This window comes from Homo sapiens, chromosome 6 (genome assembly GCF_000001405.40).
Source record: "Homo sapiens chromosome 6, GRCh38.p14 Primary Assembly".
NCBI classification, from domain to species: Eukaryota; Metazoa; Chordata; class Mammalia; order Primates; family Hominidae; genus Homo; species Homo sapiens.
Genome location: NC_000006.12, coordinates 125876652 through 125900255, shown reverse-complemented (window position 1 = coordinate 125900255; position 23604 = coordinate 125876652). Strand labels below are relative to the sequence as shown.

At 37.4% G+C, this 23604-nt stretch overlaps 1 protein-coding gene across 17 annotated transcripts in view; it reads right to left on the bottom strand.

Moving 5' to 3' along the window:
* NCOA7 (nuclear receptor coactivator 7) overlaps window positions 1–23604 on the bottom strand; it is a 150920-nt gene that overhangs the window by 31779 nt on the left and 95537 nt on the right. For 9 of the 17 annotated variants that reach the window (XR_007059204.1, XM_047418206.1, NM_001199620.2 and 6 more), the window contains 6 exons: window positions 21886–21993; window positions 19053–19166; window positions 17705–17830; window positions 14913–15097; window positions 10275–11317; window positions 9446–9614 (listed from right to left, as the gene is read on the bottom strand). Coding sequence is in view for 16 of the 17 variants with exons in the window: in XM_047418206.1 (XP_047274162.1) it covers window positions 9446–9614; window positions 10275–11317; window positions 14913–15097; window positions 17705–17830; window positions 19053–19166; window positions 21886–21993 (1745 nt within the window). In the remaining variant the exon portion in view is untranslated. The remainder of the gene's footprint in view (window positions 1–9445; window positions 9615–10274; window positions 11318–14912; window positions 15098–17704; window positions 17831–19052; window positions 19167–21885; window positions 21994–23604) is intronic. The other 8 variants (XM_047418207.1, XM_024446332.2, XM_017010270.2 and 5 more) reach the window with 1 other exon arrangement.

Genomic DNA, 23604 nt, shown 5'->3' with positions numbered 1-23604 from the left:
TGGGGAGATTTAATATATTTAATCGATATTTCGGCTTCCTTTTTGAAAAAGATGAGAAGATGTAGCAACACCCCAGGCCTGTGTTCCCATTCCCACCTAGCTACAGAGGTCCACAGCCCCTACTGGTAGAGAAGGAGCTCTATAATTAACCCTGGCCTCATGCTTCCTTTACCCCCATTCCACAGCCCCTGCAGGCATTTAGGTTTGCAATCATTACTGTTTCTGCATACTTACTCCCAAACACTGTGTGCAGCACCCATTGGCAGGGATTAGTCTGCAGTGGAAATGGACCCTCAGCTATTCTCCAAAGCTACTTGTCTCCAAGCTTGCTCCGCCACCAGAAAGCACTGTGAAGAGCTCACTTACAAAGAAGATTATTTTTTCATGAGCTTACGTCTGACTGTAGAGTGAATGATTAACTCAAGGTATTTGCCAAAGCTGGTTACTGAAGTTACTGGGGGGTGGTTGCCTAAGAGGGTGTTTTTGGAGGGTAATGAATTTCTGGAATTTTCAGTTGATGAAAAAAAGGTAAAATAATCAGGAAGGGAGAGCAAGCAGTGTCACTTTAAAACATAAAATAATCAATAATTACATATTTGTTTAGGGGTTTTCCAAAATTCATACTAAATAGGAAGACAAGAAGACAATTCTTTCAGGGATGTTTTGGAGATCTTGTTTGGGTTTTTTCTTTACTAGTGACTTTCAACTTAAAGAATCATCATAAAATTACAGTATAACACATTGGTAAGTGGTACTTACGAATCACAGGGTTTGTATTCTGATATATACCTGGTATGGCTGAGTAGGACCTCAGTTGTTCCAGCAAGTACAGTACTAAAAAATGTTCAAGATTATGGTCTTCTTGGCACCAGGAGGCATTAAAGATTCCAGGTTAGCTGTGATCCCAGTAGAAGCAAGGTGACTTTTGATCAGAAAATTCCACATTAACTATGGTTAAAGATTTCATGCTAGAAAACTAGGTCAGTTTGTAATTCCTTTAATTCATCCCTTATTTCTAAGAAAAGGTGCTGTTAAGAGCATTTTGCTGTCTTCATGAAGGTCCTTAGGATTTGAACATCTTTCCATTGTAAAACAAGTTTAATAGGGAATCAATTTTATTTTTTATGATTCTCATTATAAAATAATTCATGCTCACTAAATGCATGTGAATAGAATATTTAATGGCAGAAAAATACACATTTTTAAGGAAAAGCAATTTACATATACTATATATGTATGATCTATATAGTATTATTACATTAATCCATGCATTGAAAGAAAGGCTAAAAGGCTATACAGATAAAATGAATTGTAGTTAGTTCTCTGTAACAAAACTATGAGATTTCAATTTTCTTCTTTTTGCTTTTCTGTATTTTCTAAATATTAGTCTGTATAATTTTAATTATAAGAAATAACAAATACATTTTTTATTTATTAGATTATAAGCTCATTTATTCATGAACCCATCCAACTAATGTTTAGGAATATGTATTATAGGCTGGGCACAATGGCTCATACCTGTAATCCTAGCACTTTTATGAAGGGTTTTTAAAAATACAGAAGGGGTTTAGACATGAGTCCTGAAGGCTTAAGATATTTTTGTGGGAATGAAACAAGATCAGAATAGTTTTTTTTTAGAAGATTATCATAGACATATGGTACAAAATAGGTTTTAAGAAGAGGAACTAAAGAATAGGAAATTGTTATTTTCAAGTACTACATTCACAATCAGAGTAGCACAAAGTCAAGAAGGGCATCAATTTGTTGCCCAATCTGCTCTCTTAATGCTCTCTGATTTAGCTCTGGGCAAACTGATAGCTGAGGTAGTGGGTTAATTTCTTTGATATTCCTCTTTGAGTTTTTAAGAGTAGAAATTCTCCTTGGGATGATGAAGATAACATGGGATGATCTTTGTAAAAATATGTGCTCAACCAGAATAATCTGATGCTTTTATAATGTTGCAATTCAGGCACCTGAATGACATCAGGGTCCAATGAAGCTTAGCACCCATAGTTTTAAAAATGAGTAAGATTTCAGATGGATGGCACATCATGAAAAGCTCAGTACTCATGACTTTCAGGCTTTGCTCTAAATGTTCCAGAACCAAGAGTGAATAGTTTAGAAAAAGAAAAAGAAGATAGAAAGAGAGTTGAAAAATCCTGACTATGATCGGTCATCAACTAGTCACTCCTAACAATAAAATATAGCTTTTGTGGCCAAAATGTTACTACATGGTCTTAGTATGTATGGATGCTACTACTCAACATGTCAAAAAGGGGCTGGGCATGGTGGCTCATGTCTGTAATCCCAGCACTTCGGGAGGCCGAGGCAGGCGGATCACTTGAAATCAGAAGTATGAGACCAGCCTGGCTAAAATGGTGAAACCCTGTCTCTACTAAAATGCAAAAATTAACCAGGCATGGTGGCAGGTGCCTGTAATGCCAGCTACTTGGGAGGCTGGGGCAGGAGAATTGCTTGAAGCCAGGAGACGGAGGCTGCAGTGAGCCGAGATCATGCCATTGCACTCCAGCCTGGGTGACAAGAGCAAAATGCCATCTCAAAAAAAAAATGTGAAAAGGGAAATACATCCCAATTTGCATTTACTATAGTAAAGAATTTAAAGCCAACAGAGAGATTGAACTAACATGTCTTTAAATATATATTGATATGAAAGTAATCTCATAAAATCAAAATGTGATTAGAGATAAAGTAAAAATTAACTGTGTGCTATTATGCCAATTCCAGGAAAAATAATAGAGAATAGAAAATAAAACTAAGAAATCCTTAAAGAAGCCTATTTAAGGAATAAAAACTATGAGCTTAAGGCTCTGCTCTACACAGAGCTAAGAACTAAGTATGAAACATATTTAACTATGAAACATCTATTTTCTAACCCATTGCTTGTTCATGGGACTAGCTTTCCATTGAATATCCTGGGGGAAATGTTGACTTAAAGAAAAGGTACCATTTCTTAAAAAGGGGCCTTGAGCTCTTGGTTCTACTCTTTGGTCCAGGCAACCATGGAGAACTCTGGGTGATGAACTATACTACAGGAAATACTACTGTTAGTCTCAAATTGGACTATCAGGTATATACACGCAACATAGATTATACCTTTTAAACTGACAGATACCTGTGTGCGCATGTATACGTTACTCATTTTTATTGTGAAAGCACAAAAATCCCAAATATTATAATGAGATAGTGAGACTTTGAATTATGCTTGACATTATGTAATAACTTATCATGCTTTCTAAAACAGAATCAATTTAACTTATACATAATGAGTTTATCCTAAATACGTGTGCAAACACAAAACATAACTGTCTATTGAGTATAAATGAGTTTGCTGATCCTAAATAGAAGCCAATTAGAGAAACAGCACTTTAGAATACTTTTTAACAAATAAATGTATTATACATTTTTATATTAAGGTATAAATAATCTTTTTATTTTTATTTTTGGAGACAGGGTCTTGCTCTTTTGTCAAGGTTGGAGTGCGGAGGCGTGATTTTAGCTCACTGCAGCCTCAGCATCTCGGGCTCAAGTGATCTTCCCACTTCAGCCTCTTGAGTAGCTGGGAACTACAGGTGTGTGCCACCATCCAGCTAATTTTTGTATTTTTTTGTAGAGATGTGATTTCACCATGTTGCCCAGGCTTGTCTTGAACTGCTGAGCTCAAGCAATCTGTCCACCTTGGCCTCCCAAAAGTGCTGGGATTACAGGCATGACGTACCACGCCCAGCCATAAAATCTATTTATTAAAGGAATCACACAGAACCAAAACTCTCCGGCCTCAATTGGCCTTACCTTATATCAAACAGATGTTATATAAAAAGTGCTCACTCACCTTTAAAATAAAACATTTTATAGCTACATTTGTTTCTTTATTCATCTACTGACTTAGATATAAAGAATCATAACACTCAGTGTTCCAAGCATCTGGAGAAAAGGATACTCTTATGCTGGTGGGTGTATATATGGTCACACACTTTCATGTGCAACATGTATTTAAAGCCTTAAACATATTCTTGGATTTCATAAGACTCCCTGAAGGATTTTACAGATACTTTTAATGTAACATTGCTTATAATGGCCAAAAATTCAAAAGAACCTAATATCCAAAGTAAGTACATGATTAAATCAATCAGAAAACATAATGGTGTGCTAACTGCATTATATATATATATGTATTATGTATATGTATTATGTATATATATGTATTATATAATATATATATATTTTATATATATATACACACACAGACACACACACACACACACACACACATATATACATATATGAACTAACATAGCATATGATATGGTTGAGATCTGTGACCCTGCCATATCTCATGTCGAAATGTAATCCCCAGTGTTGGAGGTGAGGGTTGGTGGGAGGTGTTTGGGTCGTGGGGGCAGATCCCTCATTGCTTGGTGCTGTCCTTGCTGTAGTGGGTTCTCCCGAGATCTGGGTGCTTAAAAGTGTGTAGCAACTCCGCCCACTCTCTCTCTTTTCCACTCCTGCCATGTGAGAAGCCTGCACTGTCTTTGTCTTCTGCCTTGGTGTTGTAAGCTTCCTGAGGCCTCAACAGAAGCAGAGATGGCCAGCACTATGCTTCCTGCACAGCCTGCAGAACTGTGTGCCAGTTAAACCTTTGTTTCTCGTCAATTAACCAGTCACAGGTATTTCTTTATAGCAACCCAAGAATGGCCTAACGCAGCACATGATGTGGAAAATGTACACAGGATATTAAGTGGGAAAAAAGCCAATTGCAAAATAGATTTTTTCCCCATCTCCTTTTGGCTTATCTGTATGTTCAAGTGTTACTAAAGTTATCTCAGCATAATTTTTTTTCAAGTTAAACAAAAATAAAAATTTAAACCCCATGAGCTTTCCTTCTCCTTCTCTCCCTTCGCTTTCTTATTAGTTTACTTATTATACAAATCACACTAACCAACTTAAAAAGTTTGGATTAAACATTTATGCATGGCTTGAGAAACTCTACATAATTCCTGCTACTTAACACTATTTCCATCTTATTTATTTTAAAAGCTGGATAATATAGAATTATTATAAAACATTTCAGAGATTAAAAGGCTATAAATAATTGGAAAAAAGAGAAAAGTTTTACTTTAGAGAAGAATTATTGGTTCTTTCTAATCAAGGACAATCTGTCAGCATTAAGAAAGGGAAGGGGGGAAAAAGACAATTGAGGTTTTTAAAATATAAAACAGTATCCAAATTCACGGAATATTATATCTCTACAAAGTGTTAAGAAGTATCTTCAATCACTTTTCATAAGGTTCTCAGGATAGGGTCCCAGTCTTATTTACTTAAAACTAGGTAAATAAGTGCCTGCCAGGAAGTATGCACCAAATAATTATTTGTTCAAATATGATCTAATTACTTAATGCTTACAATCATCTACATTTTTAAATTTTTAAATATTTTAACCCATTTCCCATTTAGGAAAAAAAAAAAAAAGTACAGCTTGCTGCCAGCACAGTATTCTTGGTGCAAATGGGAAATCGGTTAATACAGTCCAAATCAGTGTGTCTGGTTCATTTCAGCTCCTTCACTGCCAAACCAGGGGTCAAGGACTGCTTTAGCTTTTCTGCCTTCTCCTTGTCTGTGATGATGAATGTGTAAGGTATCCTCTGCATTGAACTTTAAACTTCACGTTGTCCTTATTGATCTATTTTTTAAATTAAGAAATTATGGTACAAGGAGATAAAGTATCTCATTCAAAGGCCCATACTTCTGGGGATTCCCATTCACATCTGCCTGGTTCTGGGGCTCATTATTTCAGCCCAAGACTCCACACCTCTTCTAGGGAAGGGGACAGTAGTGAAATCTCTAAATTATTTAGCTATTGTGGCTTTCAACCCCACTTTCAGAATGGTACAGAGGCCCGAGTCTAGTACGCGACCAGTGGTTCTCAATGTGAAGTGATTTTGTCCTCCAGAGGACATTTTGGCAATGTCTGGAGATACTTTGGTTTACCACAACTGGGGAGATGCTATTAGCAGATAGTGGGAAGAGGCCATGGAGGTTGCTAAACATACAATTCACCCCCACCCACCCCCTCCAACAACAAACTACGTAGTCCAAAATGTCAATAGTGTTAAGGTTGAGAAATTTTGTACTAGATGATTAAAATATGGTGGAACATTGTCCTTATGTTTAAACTAGCACCAAGAGTGAAAGCAGGAGGAGCCAGCACCTCCCAGGTTTATAAGTAGAGTTGTGGAAACTGCAGATCTCCCCAGCACACCACTATTATCTTCAGCTGTCTCAAGAGAATGACCTGATTTTGCAAGCTGCACTGGAGACAGGGAGGACATAAGGTTGACGAGTATTTAATTCTCAGTGAACCTGAGTATGTTTCAAGTCGTAGTGTACAGGTGTGCAAGAAGAAACTGCTGGCTTTCCTGGATTCATGGAGGTCTTAGATCTGACAACTTCTACCAAGGTAAATAAAACTATTACGTATTTAGGCAGTTTTTAACTACTTCACATCTCTAATTTCTAGTATCTAAAACTTAGTAAGAATTGCCACAGAAAAAAACACCTACCCAAAACAAAGGAGATTAACGGAGACTATGCAAGGTTTCCATCGTTGCTGTCCTTACTACCACCCTCTGGCCCCCCCACAGCCCCGCCCTCTCCATGGTCTTACTTGGTAGATTATTCATTCAGTGATGGAGTTGGGAAACCCATAGGGTACATTGTAAATAAAGAAGGAGAGATTTGGTACAGTTAACTTTTTAGTAGTAATAATAATAAAGGAAAAAGTAAACATTTTTAAAAAGTATTAGGAACAATAGAGAGAACAGTGAAACATATGTTTGTGAAGTTCACCATCGAAATTTAATTATCCTGTGACAAGGAGTTTTAATTTTTAACATAGTGGATAAGTCAAAGAGACTTGCCTAAATAGAACAAGTTGTCACATCTATAAGGTCTATGAAAAGGACACTGTAACCCACGAAGGGGAAGGGAGCCACTCCTAGGGTGGCTTCACTCTGCAACTGAAACTCCAGTGGATGCATGGATCCATTAAACAGAAAGGCAAGTAGAAACATCCAGTTTGCTGCAGCAAGGGAATCCAGAAATTATAACTGAAGTGAGAAAAGCTGTACATGCCACTTCTTAGCTCCCCCTTAAGGACTTCTGTTGAGCCTTAAGTCCTGAAGAATTTCATGGATTAGAAACAAAAATAAATATTTCTTACTGTGGAGGTCTGGATGAGAATTAACCATGGGACTGCTTCATCTTCCCCCTACTTAAACTAAAATGTAGGTCCCTTCAGGGGAGGTAGACATGGAAACACATGAAGCAGTAATTACCACAAAAAAATTCCTAACATCTACACAAAAAAACTATTGTCATTAACGCAGTGTAATATAACACTTCCAAGAAAATCTTTGGTTGATTCATAATTAGTTCAAGAAAGAAAACTAAGTATTCCAGGTTATTTGCTACCCGAAGGTAAACAAGTAATGGACACTATAAAATACAATATAACAGAATCCCACAAGTGACCTGCTTTTTTTGTTTGTTTATTTGTTTGTTTTTTGTGACAAAGTCTTACTCTGTCGCCCAGGCTGGAGTGCAGTGGCGTGATCTCAGCTCACTGCAATCTCTGCCTCCCAGGTTCAAGCGATTCTCGTGCCTCAGCCTCCCGAGTAGCTAGGATTACAGGCACCCACCACCACGCCTGGCTAATTATTTTTGTGTTTTTAGTAGAGATGGGGTTTCACCATGTTGGCCAGGCTGGTCTCAAACTCCTGACCTCAGGTGATTCACCCGCCTCGGCCTCCCAAAGTTGACCTGCTTTTAAAAGCTCACAAAAACCACTTGAAGTGGTATAAGAAGTGAAAGAGAAGTACTATTTTACCATTAAAGATTTCTTCTGGGTTAAAAATGACAGTAAAATAATTACATGTGTGGGATTGCTTCAATTATTCTACGAGAGTCCTTGGTGCAGACAGTTGCAGCAAAGATAACACAATTGAAAAAAACACAATTGTCTTATATTATAAAGAATACATTTTCCCAGAGAAAAAGTGATATATATGATAGGTAGTTTTTCTGATAGATGATCAAGTTTACACAACCCACAATGTAACTGAAAGTTTCAGCGCTTTGTTTTCCTCACCTAGAAAATCAAGAATGGGCCTAAATCTCTTAGATATTATTCAGCTGTAAAATTCTAATTCTAGGACTCCAATTTTAACAGAGCTTCAGAAATCTGCACTGCTTCTGTTGAAATATTTTAAAATGATAACAAAAGAGACACATTTTCTCCTCATTCTCCTCAATATCCCTAAATTTCCAGGAGATGCTGTGGGGGCTGCAGGCACAGGTGATGGAGTATATTACATAAATGCAAAACAAGTTATGTTTAATGCCTGGGTTAATGTGGGTTTGTGTCTAAGGCAGGTAAAAGCTATTAGCAAATTCATTAATAAAAAGCCTATTATTTTTCACATTAAACTATAATTTATTAAAATGAGACAACTCTCCCAATAAGAATGATCATTCTAGGTAGTAGTCAGCCAGAAGGTGCACTCTTGCTTAGAATTTAATTTTGTTTACTGAGAAATCATGCTATGGAAGCTTGCTGAGTGTATTTGCTCTTGGCAGGTGTGTTAGCCAGAATATCTGGCTAGATGATGATGTTTTTAAGGGGCAAGATGCATGGTTTTAACAGTGTTGAAAACTAAGTGCAAGGACTTTATAAGACATTTTTATTCTACCACATATATGAAATAAAAGCAATTAATTGTTTTCTAAAAAGAATATTCCCTAATTATTTTTATTATAAAGACATCCTCAGTGATATACTGTTGAAGAATTTCTATGCCACTATCCCTCCTATCCTAGACTGCCACATAACCAAGAAGGTATCTTCTTTGGTGAATTGAAAATATAATTTTTTATAGGAGTATACAACCCTTGAGACTATCCAGGGGATCACATTTCTTATGCTGCTGAGCTACAGATGCTCCCTCCATAAGGACAATAAATCTTTCATTCCCTAGAATTATAAGCACTTTGAAAATTATAATCCTGCCTCTTTCTTGCACTTAAGAGGTGTTTGGATCTGCTCCATAGTATTCCTTTATCCTCAATGAAAGAGCACTTCTAATTACTGGTACTTGAGAACATCAAATTCTTCTTTCATTTAAAAATCAACTAGGTAGAAAGTTATGAAAGCAGTTCAGGACATAGTACCTATGATGACTCCATATTTGTTATATTAAAACCACCATTTAGCAGAAAGTCCCTTTAAATAATATCCTTCTAGAATTCTAAAATCTACAATTCAGATAAAGCTCTTATTCAAGAATAAAATTAAGTATTTTAAGATAAAGAATATCAAAACGCCATCCAAACCTAACAGACCCACAGACTTTCCATTGTAGCCCATACTCACCTCTCCCGAGGAACAGCAAACCAGTACTCTGGCTGCTTTCTCCGTTTGCCGTACTGCTGGACCATGGCTGCAGTGTGAGTGGCAAAGGATTTTCTCATTGGTTTTCCCACTTTGATGCACAGGAACATGGGTGGGGTCTTGCTTTTTTCTTCTTTTGAAGGAAGTATATCTGAATCACACACGAAAAAACTGTTCCTCAATATTGACAATATTGGTAATAGCAGAATTTTTCAACTTAAAAAAAATAGTGCACAATCCTCTCTTAGTCAAAACATTGCAGAAACATCCTACAACATCGTATCAGGACTAATAAATTTTTCAAGCCTTCTTTAGCACACAAGGAAAAAGCTTTGGTTGTTTCAGGTTGAACTACATCCCATGAGCTGCTACATACTGAAAATAAGTTTAAAAACCAATAGAATAGCAAATAATAGAGAATTGGGACAATTCACAGGAATACATATTAATGAATGCTACTGAGAACACAATATAACATAATGCAATTCAGTTTAGAATTGAGATTTCTTCAAAAACAGTTTAAACTCCTCTAGATTTAGAAAATAAAGGTAAAAAAGGAAAGTAACTTGAAAGATTAAAAGTAAACGACTTTTGAAGTAGGTATCTAGAGATCTATGTCACAGTCCAAGTTCCAAAATAGATACCATATCTTGTAAATTTTCTCCCCAATTGTTAATGCTATCAGCAAAGATACACTCTATTGAGAAAATACTGTTTTCAAATAAATGTACTAATGTGGGTATTACATGTGCAAATTGTAGAAAGGCAATTATGCAACAGAATATAAAGGCATTAAAGAAAAACAGCTTACCTTCAATGGGTACCTGAATTCTCTTTAACAGCCACAACTGAACTTCAGATTTATTATCCATTTGTGCACCTTGACAGCTGTTGTCCAGAGTAGATTCCAAAGAGGAGTCTAGAGCCTCTTTAATCACATTTGCTTCTGTAGAAGAGTTCAGTTTTACCGGGAGGGGCTCTCCCTTTTTCACCCAGGTCTTATCTGGCTCTTTATTGCCCTCAGTTATGGGATCACCCGCCTGGGAAAGAGAACTACTAAGGGTAATGTCTATTCCCCCTGGTTCAATACTTTTTCCATCACTTAATTCTGTTTTCTGCAAATTTTCAGATACCTGTGGCCCTTCTTTGTTCTTAGTCAGGTAATATTCAATGAGTTTAACTTTATCTAAATCTTCATGTATGTTCAGTGTGTTTTCTACTCGGCTTTCTGGCGAACCAGACTGCTTGTCCACTTCTGGCATTATATCTTGCTTCTCACAGGTTTCTAAATCTAGCGCCCCCTTCAGTTCAACATCATTCTCTGTTCCCAAAAAGGCTAGGGCTGACTGCACCTGCATTTCCACGGCAGAATTGTTTATTTGTGACTCAGCTTTCTTTCGTTCCTCTGGGTCAAGAGAAAGGCACTCCTTCAAGGTGTCTTTTTTGTGCATTCCACCACCAGTTTGAGAAGAAAGTTCTTCCAAGTCAACAAAATCATCATCTTCCCCTAGAAAGTTTTCTTTGGCTGTAGATTCAAATGCAGAAGAAGTGTCGGAAGGTTCCTTGCTGAGCTTAGTCACTGTGGGAGAACCATGGGATGTCTCCCTAGAGGAGTCCAGTTTCTTTAATTTCTCTGACACAGAGCTGCCTGAGGGCTTTGTAGGTGTATGTCCTGTGGACTTCTCCAAAGGTACTATTGGTCTGGAATCCGAAGTCATAATTTTCTCTCCATTCTGCTGTCGTTTTTCCTTGTTGATAGATTTGAACTTACTGAATGGGTTGATATCCTTTTCTGAAGCCAGGTCTTCCCATTCTCCAGGCCTGTACAGAGGACAAAGATCCTGAGGTAGGTCACTGTTGGGGGAGAAATGGTGGGTGCACATGGAATGTTAAAAATAAAACCAAAAACAAAATGGAGGAAAGGCAAAAAACAAAACAGAAACTCAACCAAAAACCAATACATAAATATATCACAACTTAAATTTATGTTCAAATGATTTCAGAATAAAAAAATAAAATCAAGAAATTGATTTCAAAATAAAACATAGGTCAACTAAAGGAAATGGAGAAAGAATGAACCATGAGAGTTGCATATCCTACTGGAAGCACATGATGGAATTGGAAGTTATACATGAACATGAAGATGTTACCCATAAGATTTCTAAATATGAAATAATAATGTTTCTGACTTTCATGAAGGAAAGGATAAAGGAGAGGAAATATTTTAGTACCAATGTCTAAAATTCCTTAAATGTGCAAACATTTTCCTTTTTATCAAATAGTGTAGAAAACAACTACATTAATTTTGAAAAGCTCGTTGACTTAGTAGCTACTCACTTAACTGCTCCATATAAAGTCACTGACCTTGAACCCTGATTCTGGGTTTCATGGCTTAGGATCTGATGCTTCTAATCATAGACAGCCCTCTACTCCCAAAGGAGATGCAAGAGGAAGCTTCCACTATTATTGTGGGTATACGGCAGTTGCTCCATCTTATAATTTAAAAATGTATAGAAAAGTAAATCTTATCTAAAAAGCTCTTATGTATAGTACTTACATTTCTTAAGTAAATATTTCATAACAATATCGCTTTACTTTATAGCAATGGTGCAGCTCGTTTATCAGCTGAAACATATTGTCCTGGGATGCAGTCAATTATTTTTCCTTAATAACAGATGCTTTACTTCCCAGATCGGAATTACATGAAAATATTGATTAAACATGTTCTCCCAAGTGTAAAATAAATGATCAAGAAATACATTTAAAAAAAATGACTAGAGAGCAGCAAACCACCATGGCATGCACCTATGTAACAAACCTGCACATCCTGCACATGTACCCTTGAACTTAAAATAAAAGTTGAAAATAAATAAAAATAGTAATACTTTCAAATATGTGTAAGAAAAAAATATGACTGGAAATATCTTGAGTAAACCCATCCACTTACCACTACTACTAGTAGTACTATTACTGGGTTGAAATGCAGAGATATAAAAACCTTTTAAAGAATAACATTTCAATTTCAGAAATAATTGTATTTTCTAAAAAGGTCAGATCATCTTCAGATAAAACTTTATCTGCTATTTTGGCTTTGACATAAATGGTTATGACAATAAAGCAACAAAGTACCAGGAAGTTCTGAAGTTCCAAAAGACTGTCTTCCCAAAGTGATTTTATAAATCATCTGCATGAAAGGTTCATGCTTTTTCCAATAGAAAATAAAAGCCTATGTAATTGGTTGGCTCCAACAAATGCTTTAAAAAGCCTTCATAATTTATAATTCATTTCAATTTAATAAGCATTCATTGAGCCCCTAAGTGCTATATTCTGAAATACAACTGTGAAAGAATCTCTGTTCTGCAGGAACTTGCAAACACAAAATGTTCTGCCTAACATCAGCATCCCAGGAGATGTCAAAAATGCTTCCATCCTAGAGTCAAACAAGTTAGTGAAATGTAGCATAATCTCCCTATTGGAACTCAAAACTGAATTTGGCATATTAAAGCCTGTAAGAAGTCCTGCAACAAAGAAACCCAACTTTCCACATACTTGATTAATAAGCAAAACTTTCTTCACCTTCTCTACCTAGCTTGACCCCCACAAAAATACCTTCAACTGCACTCTAATTAGCTTTCTAGATTACCTTGTCTACCCCTTTCTTCTTTTACCTAATCCAAACTGTCCATTCCCCACTTGAGATTAATTTCACCATCTGCTTTTTCTGCAGTGCAGTTGCCAAGCATACATAATGCTGTCAACTGGCTAGTTTGTTAATTAATGTTTTCTAGACTTAGCCTGGCACCTAATGATGATCAACAATCCTTTCAGTTGTTACCTTCTTACTCACTGTGGCAGCCGGAGCTACAAAACGTCCTGCACGTGTGTGCACGCGCACATACACACACTCTCACACAAATACCAAACTTGAAGGTGAGGATGGAGGAGTTTTACACATACCCACTTTTAAAAACTATTGCACGTTGCCACTGGGTAATTTGTACTTATTGTTTTATCATTAAACTTTTGGTAATAATGATGTTTTAAGTAATTTTTAACTTTTAAACAACTTATGAAGTTCTGAAGACAATACAAAGTTTATTTCACACTGACTCTCACACATTCTTGTTCATTAGACTAAAAATCCTTTATATACCTGTATCCAAGGCAGGAATCAATGTGCAACCCTGAAATAATTTCAACCCTGAAATAATTTCAAATTAGAAGCTGATTCTTAACTCTGCTCTTTTCCTGTAATCATGGCATTATCCCTTGTAATCGAGATCATTAAACATAATCTCACATTGAGAGAAGTTTTTATATAAAGATGTACTGTCTATTATTAAATAGAATACTTAATATCCTAGGCTGAAGATGTGCAATGGTATTACTCCATTAGGAGCCCTATTTCAGTAGGGAATGCCCCTATTTGTTTGGCCACCCATTTAGACACTTCTGGCAGCAAAATTTGGAAACTACTTCAGGGCCCATGTTCTGGTGATATCTTAGTGGCTTGAGGTTGGGGAAGGGCTGAGTGGACCAGATTCTAATGGCTGTAGGAGTCCAGGGGAATCTACTTGCATAAACCTCCAGGGATTTCCCTAGTAACTTCCTTTTTTTTTTTTTTTTTTCATATAAGCCCCAAGGGCTAGTTTCCCTCTTTACTGTTAGGACCTACTGCTTTGCCTCTTCCCATCACTGAAGGTTTTTAAAGTTTTTTACTGCTGGCTTTTATAGAGAAACAGACACAGTAGAGCGAAAGGACAGTAAAAATCAGATTATCTGTATCAGTTAATCAATTTCCTGAGCTTTCTTAATGCTTTCTCTTTTTTCCTGGGGAGCTTCCCTCTCTTTTTTACAATAAATCCAGCATTATAAGGCAAAAGTAATCAGGACTGAAGTTATATTCATCTGTATTTCAGGGAAAAAGCAAACTGGTATTACTCCCTCTTCACAGCATGAGAAGGTGGCTACCACTACACTGTAGACCCAAACCCCTCTCCATGCAGGACTGAGGGAGGACATGAATCAGGGAGACTGCTTTTCCTAGAAGTTAAATGAAGACAAACATAACTCTCCTTAATTAAACCCAGAAGAAAACATTATTCTCTTATTGATAATTGGATAAACTTCTTTCAGAGAACTGCCTTTCTTCCTTCATAATTTCATTAAGAACGTGCACTGCTTTTTAGAAAAATAAGCCCAACAAATACTATTTTTACATGACGGCTTCTTTGTTTTTCTCCTTTAATCTTTATATGTTCAACTTTTCCCATCATTGATTTTATTCTTTTCATTTCTTCTCATTTTTCTCATTTTCTTCAGTGCACAAGTCTTCCATCTTCAAAATCACCTCTACACAATCCCTCAATCATGCAAATGCCCTCATTTTTAAGCTACATTTAGCTCTCTCAACACCCCTTTTTTCCTGGTAAACAAATAAATGTCTTACGATGGCAAGGCATCTTTGATCTTCATGTGAGAAATGTCATTGTAGAGCGCAATGGAAACAACCTCTTCCATGGGGCAGATGAGACCATACTCCTCACACCCATTTTCAATAACCAGAGGATCAGATTTATGAGGGTCAAACATGATGTTGTTAGGAGTCACTATCATAACACCGCCAACCACACCCTGCAGGAGAAAGCAACAGGACAGAATCACTTCAGGCAGAAATGCTTTCAGCAACTACCACAGAGCTTTAATTAACTCAGATGGCCACTCCATGGACTTTGTGAACCACAGTATCCTATGTGACAATTACATCCCCTTTGTGAGGACCAGAAAAACAGGCTGAAGAAATGCAATGCTAGGTGGTGAGGCAGAGAAAACAGATGTGGCTCACTGAGGCAACCAGCTGAGCCTGGTTCTATCACAGCTGCTGCAACAGCACAGTTGTGGAGTGATCCTGGTTCTCACATGCACGTCTCAGATTTCCTAGATTTTCTAGTTCTCTGTCTGCAAAATGGGAGGGGCTGCCCAAGTGCTTACCCGATCGAGAATACAGGGCTTTACAATTCACTCTGCAAGTCTTCACCATGTGTCTGACAAGTGCATGGTTCTGTGCTAAGGGAGCAGCTGTTTCAGAGTTACAGTGCCAAAGAATAGTCCCAATATTTTTCTTTAAAATATTTAGAAAGCCCATATCCAACAAAAGTCAAAGTAAATAGGAACATGAAACTTTTGTAGCCAGAGTGAATATAGCTGAACTATGGAGATTAAAGCAAAAAGTCGTAGCTTGGTGAAGTCTTTGAAGTCTGAAGCTTGCTCAAATTATAAAAGAGACCTTAATGGCCATACGGATATTATCTACCATGAACAGCAGGATACAGATAACTTCCTTTAGGCAAATAATTTATTTTGGTACTTTTAATGAGTCTAGTGATTATCTCAGTAAAAAGTTTTGTAGATTCAGCAATCTCATTACTGGGTATATATCCAAAGAAAATGAAATCATATCTCAAACAGGTATCTGCACTTGCATGTTTATTTGCAGCATTATTCACAATAGCCAAGCTATGAAAACAACTTAAGCATCTATCAATAGATGAATAAAGAAAATGTGCTATATATACACAAATTATTCAGCCATAAAAAAAGAATGCAATCCTGTCATTTGCAATAACATGGATGAACCTGGAGAACATTATGTTAAGTGAAATAAGCCAAACACACAAAGATAAATACTGCATGATCTCACTCATATGTGCAATCTAAAGAAGCTGATCCCCTAGAAGTAGAGAGTAGAATGGTGATGACTAAGAGGTATGGGTGGGCCGGGTGTGGTGGTTCTGGCCTGTAATCCCAACACTTTGGGAGGCCAAGGCAGGTGGATCACCTGAGGTCAGGAGTTTGAGACCAGCCTGGCCAAAATGGTGAAACCCCGTCTCTACTAAAAATATAAAATTAGCCGGATGAGGTGGTACACACCTGTAGTCCCAGCTACTCAGGAGGCTGAGACAGGGGAATCGCTTGAACCCAGGAGGCAGAGGATGCAGTGAGCAGAGATCGCACCATTGCACTCCAGCCTGGGTGACAAGAGCAAAACTCTGTCTCAAAAAAAAAAAAAAAAAAAAAAAGAGGTGTAGGTGGTTAGGGGAAAGAGAAGGATGGGGGAGATGTTGGTCAAAGGACATATACTTACAGTTAGATAGAAGGAATAATAAATTGTCTAGAATAGGCAAATACAGAAAGACAGAAAGTAGGTAAGTGATTGCCTCCTGGAGATGAGGGTGGCAGGGAAGGGGAAAGAATAGGGTGGGAGAGTGTGAAATGGGGAGTAACTACTAATGGTTATGGAGTTTCTTTTTAGGTAATAAAAATGTTTTAAAATGGATTGTGGTGATGGTTGCACAACTATGTGAAGAAACTAAAAATCACTGGATTTTACACTGTAATTGGGTGAACTGTATGTTATGTGAATCACATCTCAATAAAGCTGTCTTTTAAAAAATTTCTTTATGTCAAGCATTATTTATTCTTGTTTGCAAATTTTATAAATGCACATCAATAACATATTTTTCCTATTATCTAAAACTGGTATGAATTCTCCTATGACCACAGGAACTCACTGGTTATCAAGATAGTCCCTTCTCCAGAGGCTCAGTAAAAGCTGAATTTGTTCTTAGTGAAAACAAAAAAACAAAAACACACAGAAAACAATCAAGCAACAACCAAAAAACTAAAAAGAAGATACAGCAGATATTAATACCAATATCATCAACAGCAAACACAGCTTGAGAGCTTACTATTTAGCCAGATTAGGTGCTAAATTCTTTACATAAATTATCACTTTTCATTATCATATCCTATTAGTTAAATTTTTTTATTGTTTCTATTTTATGCATGAGAAAAATGGGAGCTTAAGACATGTAAATACCTTGCCCCTGGTCTCAGAGTTAGTGGGTAGTGGAGTTGGAATTTAAATTCAGTGAGTCTGACTCCAGTGTTTGCTGTTATATGTACAGTATATTGTCTCCCTAACAATTCATAGGCCCAAACTAAAAGAAAAAAACAATAAATCCAAGATCACAAAGAATCACATTTCCACTCAGTGACAACATTTACCTCAGTAAGTAAAATTCCAGGCATCCAACAGAAGAAAACTAATGGATGCTTGTCAAACCTAAAATTGACACTTTGGGTAAGATCTTTTAATGTAGCCTCTGTTCCAGTAATTTGTAACTTTGTTTAGTTTTTCATAGATTTCAAGGAAAGGAAACAAATTACATTGCTATATACCTTTCCATCGGTGAAGTATCGACAATTCATTTTTAAAAATTTCACCACACCTGGCTCATCTTCTTCAGAAGTAGACGATAAGACTCTTTCAATGGGTTTCAAGGCCTTTCGTGCTAAGTCAGCATCCTTGTGAAAGCAAAAAATTTCAAAATCAAATAAAAGCACTTTTCAAACAAATTATGTGTATAAATCAAGCCCCATAAATTCCCTGTGAGTATACTATTTCTATTTAAGTGGAACATTAAAAAGGCAAATATCCTCTGTCCTTCAAAAATATCACAAATGTAATAACAGATACCCAAATCAAACTGTTTTTTTTTTCTTTTAAAAAAAGCAAAGGCATATGTATGAACCCATAAAACTTACTCATGAAATGTCTTTAGAAACTAACCTAAATGGGCTGGGTGTGGTGGCTCACGCCTGTAATCCCAGCACTTTGGGAGGCCGGGGTGGGCAGATCACCTGAGGTCAGGAGTTCGGGACCTGCCTGACTAATATGGTGAAACCCTGTCTCCAGTAAAAATACAAAAATTAGCTGGGCATAGTGGCCGGTGCCTGTAATCCCAGCTACTTAGGAGGCTGAGGCAGGAGAATCGCTTGAAACTAGGAGGCGGAGGTTGCAGTAAGCGAAGATCGTGCCATTGCACTACAGCAGTCTGGGTGACGGAGAAAGACTCTGTCTCACACACACAAACAACAACAACAAAATAAACACTAACCTAGTAACCTAAATGAAAAAATTCATATTAGACTCATGACTCAATTTGTTTTTTTTTTTTAAAAAAAGGAGGAATACAAATAAACTATCCATGTCACTGGAAATTTAACTTCATACTTTTACACAAGGCATGCATTTTTGCCTTTTTTTTTTTTTTTTTTTTGAGATAGGGTTTCACTCTGTCACCCAGGCTAGAGTGCAGTGGTACGATCATGGCTCACCACAGCCTCAACCTCCCAGGCTCAAGTGATCCTCCCACCACAGCCTCCTGAGTAGGTGGGACTACAGGTTTGAGCCACCATGTCTGGCTAATTTTTAAAATATTTCGTAGAGACAGAATCTCACTATATTGCCCAGGCTGGTCTCAAACTCCTGGGCTCAGGCAATCCTTCTGCCTCGGCCTCCCAGAGTGCTGGGACTACAGGCTGAGCCACTGTGTCTGGCCATTTTTGCCTTTGAAACCTTAAATGTGAATAAGTTTCCCTTGGAGAGGATGCATTCTCCAATTACCTAATCTCAACCATCTAGGGAGAATTTCAGATGTAATCTTGTGAAAAATAACATGTTGAATTCTACAACTTAAAAGAAGTCTCTTTAATAAAAATGAACTTCAGTGCATAATATACATACAGGCAATTTATCATATTCTGCATCTGATGATGAAGGAGAGACAGTAGCACCAGGACTGGATGATGATAGCCTTAAGGTACTGGAAGGAGAGTTGGCATCTGGCACAAAAAGGACCTGAGAATGGGAGAGAACAGATGGGTGAGTACCAGCAACCAGGCAAACCACTAGTGAGTGTTTGGAGAAGTTATTCTCTACACAGTATCATGTTCAGTGCATGATTACGACCTAGGTTGCTTTCAAGAAACTCATAAGCAACTTACGGTTTTCTAGACTAATCCATGAAATGATACTCAGCATATGAATGTGTGTAGTACAAAGGGTACAGAACATGCCTGTAGACACTGCAAGAACTCAAAAAGAAAGGGAGAGCAAGGCCAGGCACAGTGGCTCATGCCTGTAATCCCAGCACTTTGGGAGACCAAGGTGGGCAGATCACCTGAGGTCAAGAGTTTGAGACCAGCCTGGCCAACATGGTGAAACCTTGTCTTTACTAAAAATACAAAAAAATTTAGCTGGGCATGGTGGCTCGCACCTGTAGTCCCAGATACTCGGGGAGGCTGAGGCAGGAGAATCTCTTGAACCCAGGAGGCAGAGGTTGCAGTGAGCCAAGATCGTGCCACTGCACTCCAGCCTGGGTGACAGAGGGAGACTCCACCTCAAAAAATAAAATAAAATAAAATAAAATATAAATAAATAAATAAATAAAAAGAAAAGAGAGAGCAAGGTGGGTAAGTATTCTGGGCAGGCCAAGTGAAGCAAGTGGGTCCAACTGAAGCCTTGAAGAACAAGTAGAAATTGGATAGGAGAGAGGGAAGAGCCCTCCAAGGTGGGAGACTAATAGTATAAGGGAAATGAGGAGAGAGAAGCATGGCTTCTAAACTTAATATCTGTGCCAGGTAGAAATGGAACAAACCCAGCTTGCTAACTCCAAGCAGGCTCTGAGTTCTAAAGCAGTAGGTCCTTATATGATAAATTGTATAAGGTAATATCAATAAAATAATCCCAATATTTTCTCTTCCAACAGTGTCTGGGTTATGTGTAACTAAAAACTACCCCCACCCCAAAAAATTATACAGAATAGCAACCTCTGCAAAACATTCTGGTTCTCAAAACATTACTACAATCCTGTCATTCAATATTCTTTTAATGAGACATGCTACATTGTGGCATGTATCAAATATAATCTTTTGTCTTTTTCTGAGATGGAGTTTCACTCTTGTCACCCAGGCTGGAGTGCAGTGGCATAATCTCAGCTCACTGCAACCTCCACCTCCCACATTCAAGAGATTCTCCTGCCTCAGCCTCCCAAGTAGCTGGGATTATAGGAACCCACCACCAAGCCTGGCTACTGGCTAATTTTTGTATTTTTAGTAGAGATGGGGTTTCACCATGTTGGTCAGGCTGTCCTTGAAGTCCTGACCTCAAGTGATCTGCCTACCTTGGCCTCCAAAGTGCTGGAATTACAAGGATGAGCCACTGTGCCCGGCCAAATATAATCTTAAAATGATGACCTTTAATGTTATAAAACAGAATTCAGAGCTAATCATATAACAACTGATTACTGATCAATATTGTTATTCACTGTCTCCTATCTTTCCAGTCATTTAAACCTCACTTCAATCCAGAAAATATTTGAGACAACAATAAAAAAACACATTAAAATAAAAGTGGGAAAATCAAAGTCAAGGGGGGATATAAGATGAGGACTGATAACTACTAAAAATATATGCACCAAAACTGGTAACCACTCATTAAGAAGTGGGCCATAAAAGTGACTCTGAGTTTCCATATAATTAATGCAAAGAGACAACATCATTAGTTAGCAGAATTCAACTTCCATGAGATAAAAATGAAGTTTCTCAGAAGTACAAGTACTCTCCTACAGAATCTCATACAAAGGAGCATCCTAGACTGAATTATTTGTCCTCTATGATGCACTAACAGTAAATACAATAACCAGTTTTGGAGTATTGCCTTTTATAGCATCTTCAATATGGGTCAATGGAAATGCCAAAGTTTAGAGTTCTGTAAAAAGCAATTTACAAAGGACTAAAATTTTGTGATCTTGGTATATAGCTCTTATTTATCTTATATAGCTAAACTAGAGTAATGGATGGATGATGTTTTTCCCAAGCAATTCTCCACTAATAGTAAATTTTTTTTGCATCTGAACTCTTAAAAAAAGTATTAGGTAACATAGATTGCGATTCAATTGTCTGAACATTCCAAATGTCAAATCTAAGGAGTAATTCCTGTGCTTAAACAGTTGACTGCACTGTAAAGAGAGGTGAGCAGCCGCCAGAACATGTGCTACCTCAACATGGAAGTGAGCCTGGATCATGGGCAGGGGTGAAAGTTTCCTATTGCCTTCAGAAAATAATTTTGGGTTTGCTCCCAACACATATGCCAATCAGGATTTGAGGTCTTAAAGTTCTTAACCATACAGCAATGCTGTCATTTCAGCCTGGAAAAAAATTTTAAGCATGTGTAGCCAAGGTATCCTGTGAATATGAAAATATCGTAAAGTTGAGCTGGGTGCAGTGGCTCATGTCTGTAATCCCAGCTACTTGGGAGGCTGAGGTGGGAGGATTGCTTGAGCCCAGGGGATTGAGGCTGCAGTGAGCCATGATGGTGTCACTGCACTCCAGCCTGGGCAACAGAGCAAGACCCTGTCTCAAAAAATAAATAAATAAAAATAAAGGAGAGAAAATATTGAACCAAAGCACATTATCATTTATCATAATCCTGTGACAAACAATAGTGAGGCACTGAAAACGGCAATAAAAGATAAATGCAGAATTTCTAGAGTTATATCCAGTAAGAGTATAATTACCTGGCCTGGAACAATAGTATGTGTGAAAAGTTTATTCAGTTCCACCAATTTATTGGGAGTGATGTTAAATTTCAGTGCTATGGAGTTTAGGGTGTCCTGGTTTCCAGCCTAGAATAATCAAACAGGTAAGAGTCAATAAATAAAGCAAAAAAAATTACTTTTGATAGATACTATTAATTTATCTGCAATATGAATAAATAACAAACTAATAGTTCCATCAAGATAGACTATAAGAAAGAATGAATACATTGTCAATTCTTAATAAAATCATTTTACAGCAAAGTCTTAAATGCAATTCATTTCTGGGCTTCCTCATTTTCAAATTTCACTGTCCCCTAATAGATTTCTAATTTTACTTTGGTGCAACTGAGGCGCATGAAGTAAAGGTCCGTGAGCTGTAATGAAGACTACAACAAGAAAAGAAATACGATGTACACAGAGTCCCCACCCTCAGGGGAAGTGGGGCTACTTTCTCTCTTATAATTTTCTGTCTATTTGCATGACTTTTCCATATACTATAAACTGCTGGCTTGTATGGCAAAGCTGGCAAAATGTTTTCTCCTGGGCTCAGCACACTGCTTGATACATGGAGGGTACTCAAAAAGTTGATGAATGAATACTGTGAAAGCAAGGAAATCAGAAAGAAATTCAGATTAGCTACCAATAATTGTTCACTATCATTAAAACCACACTTTTCTATGGTCAAATTAGTGTTATTCTCTAAATCTGTAAAACTTGTGACATATGTCCCAGGTGTACACTTTTCTTTCCTTCTGAGGAGGAACAGGAATAGAGGGCAGTGAGGAGATGAGAAACTTCACAGGAAAACAGCTCTACCCAGAAAAAAAGTTGGCTCCCTGATGTCATGTCAACATCCCAGGACAAACTCCCTGATCAGAGCTGCCAGATAGACTTGCTAGTGGGAGGTCACTCTGATGAATGTCACTGAGAAGTTCCAATTGATAGCCCTGGGTCAAGACTGGTATAAGTTCTTTGTAAGCAGAACTGGCTCCACCAGGTGAGCCTTGAATTATGTGGAGATGTGAGGAGGCTGAAGGAAGATGTGGACTGGTGAAAGGGTAGAGATGTAGGAGGAGAATTAAACCCATCGCTGCCTTCAGTATCAGAGGTCCAACTACTAGATGAACTGTCTCAGACTAATCAAAGGTTACGGTTACAGATTACATTGAAACAGCCTCAAAGCCCTTCTGGAACAAGTTAGGATATATTATATGTAGTATGTATAATTTTTTAAATCACTAAAGTAAACAACATATGCCACTACTTCTACCCTAGGTAAAACCATCTCCACTAAAAACAAAGTTAAAAAATATTTTTAATACTGTATTATGTATTTGTATACTATATTCATATTGTTATGAGTAAACTTGTAAAACATACACTGTATAGGGGGATCAGAGTAAGAAAAACTTTAACAATCTGCAGTTATTAAAGACAAGACATACATGTAGAATTAGGGCACAGACCCCGAGAGGGATGTTGGTATCATCAAATGACTGAAACTAAGCCAGAATGCTTGATCATCCACAGCTCAGGAGTAGTAAAAGCAATCGGGTAAGTGCTAGCAGGCTCTTTAAACACAAAATTATATGAGTTACCTTTTATTTCCAATGACAAGCACAAAACCAACTTGTCAAATAAAATTAATCTCCATAACATGAAACAGAGAGGTAGGCATACCTGCATTATTGACTTGAT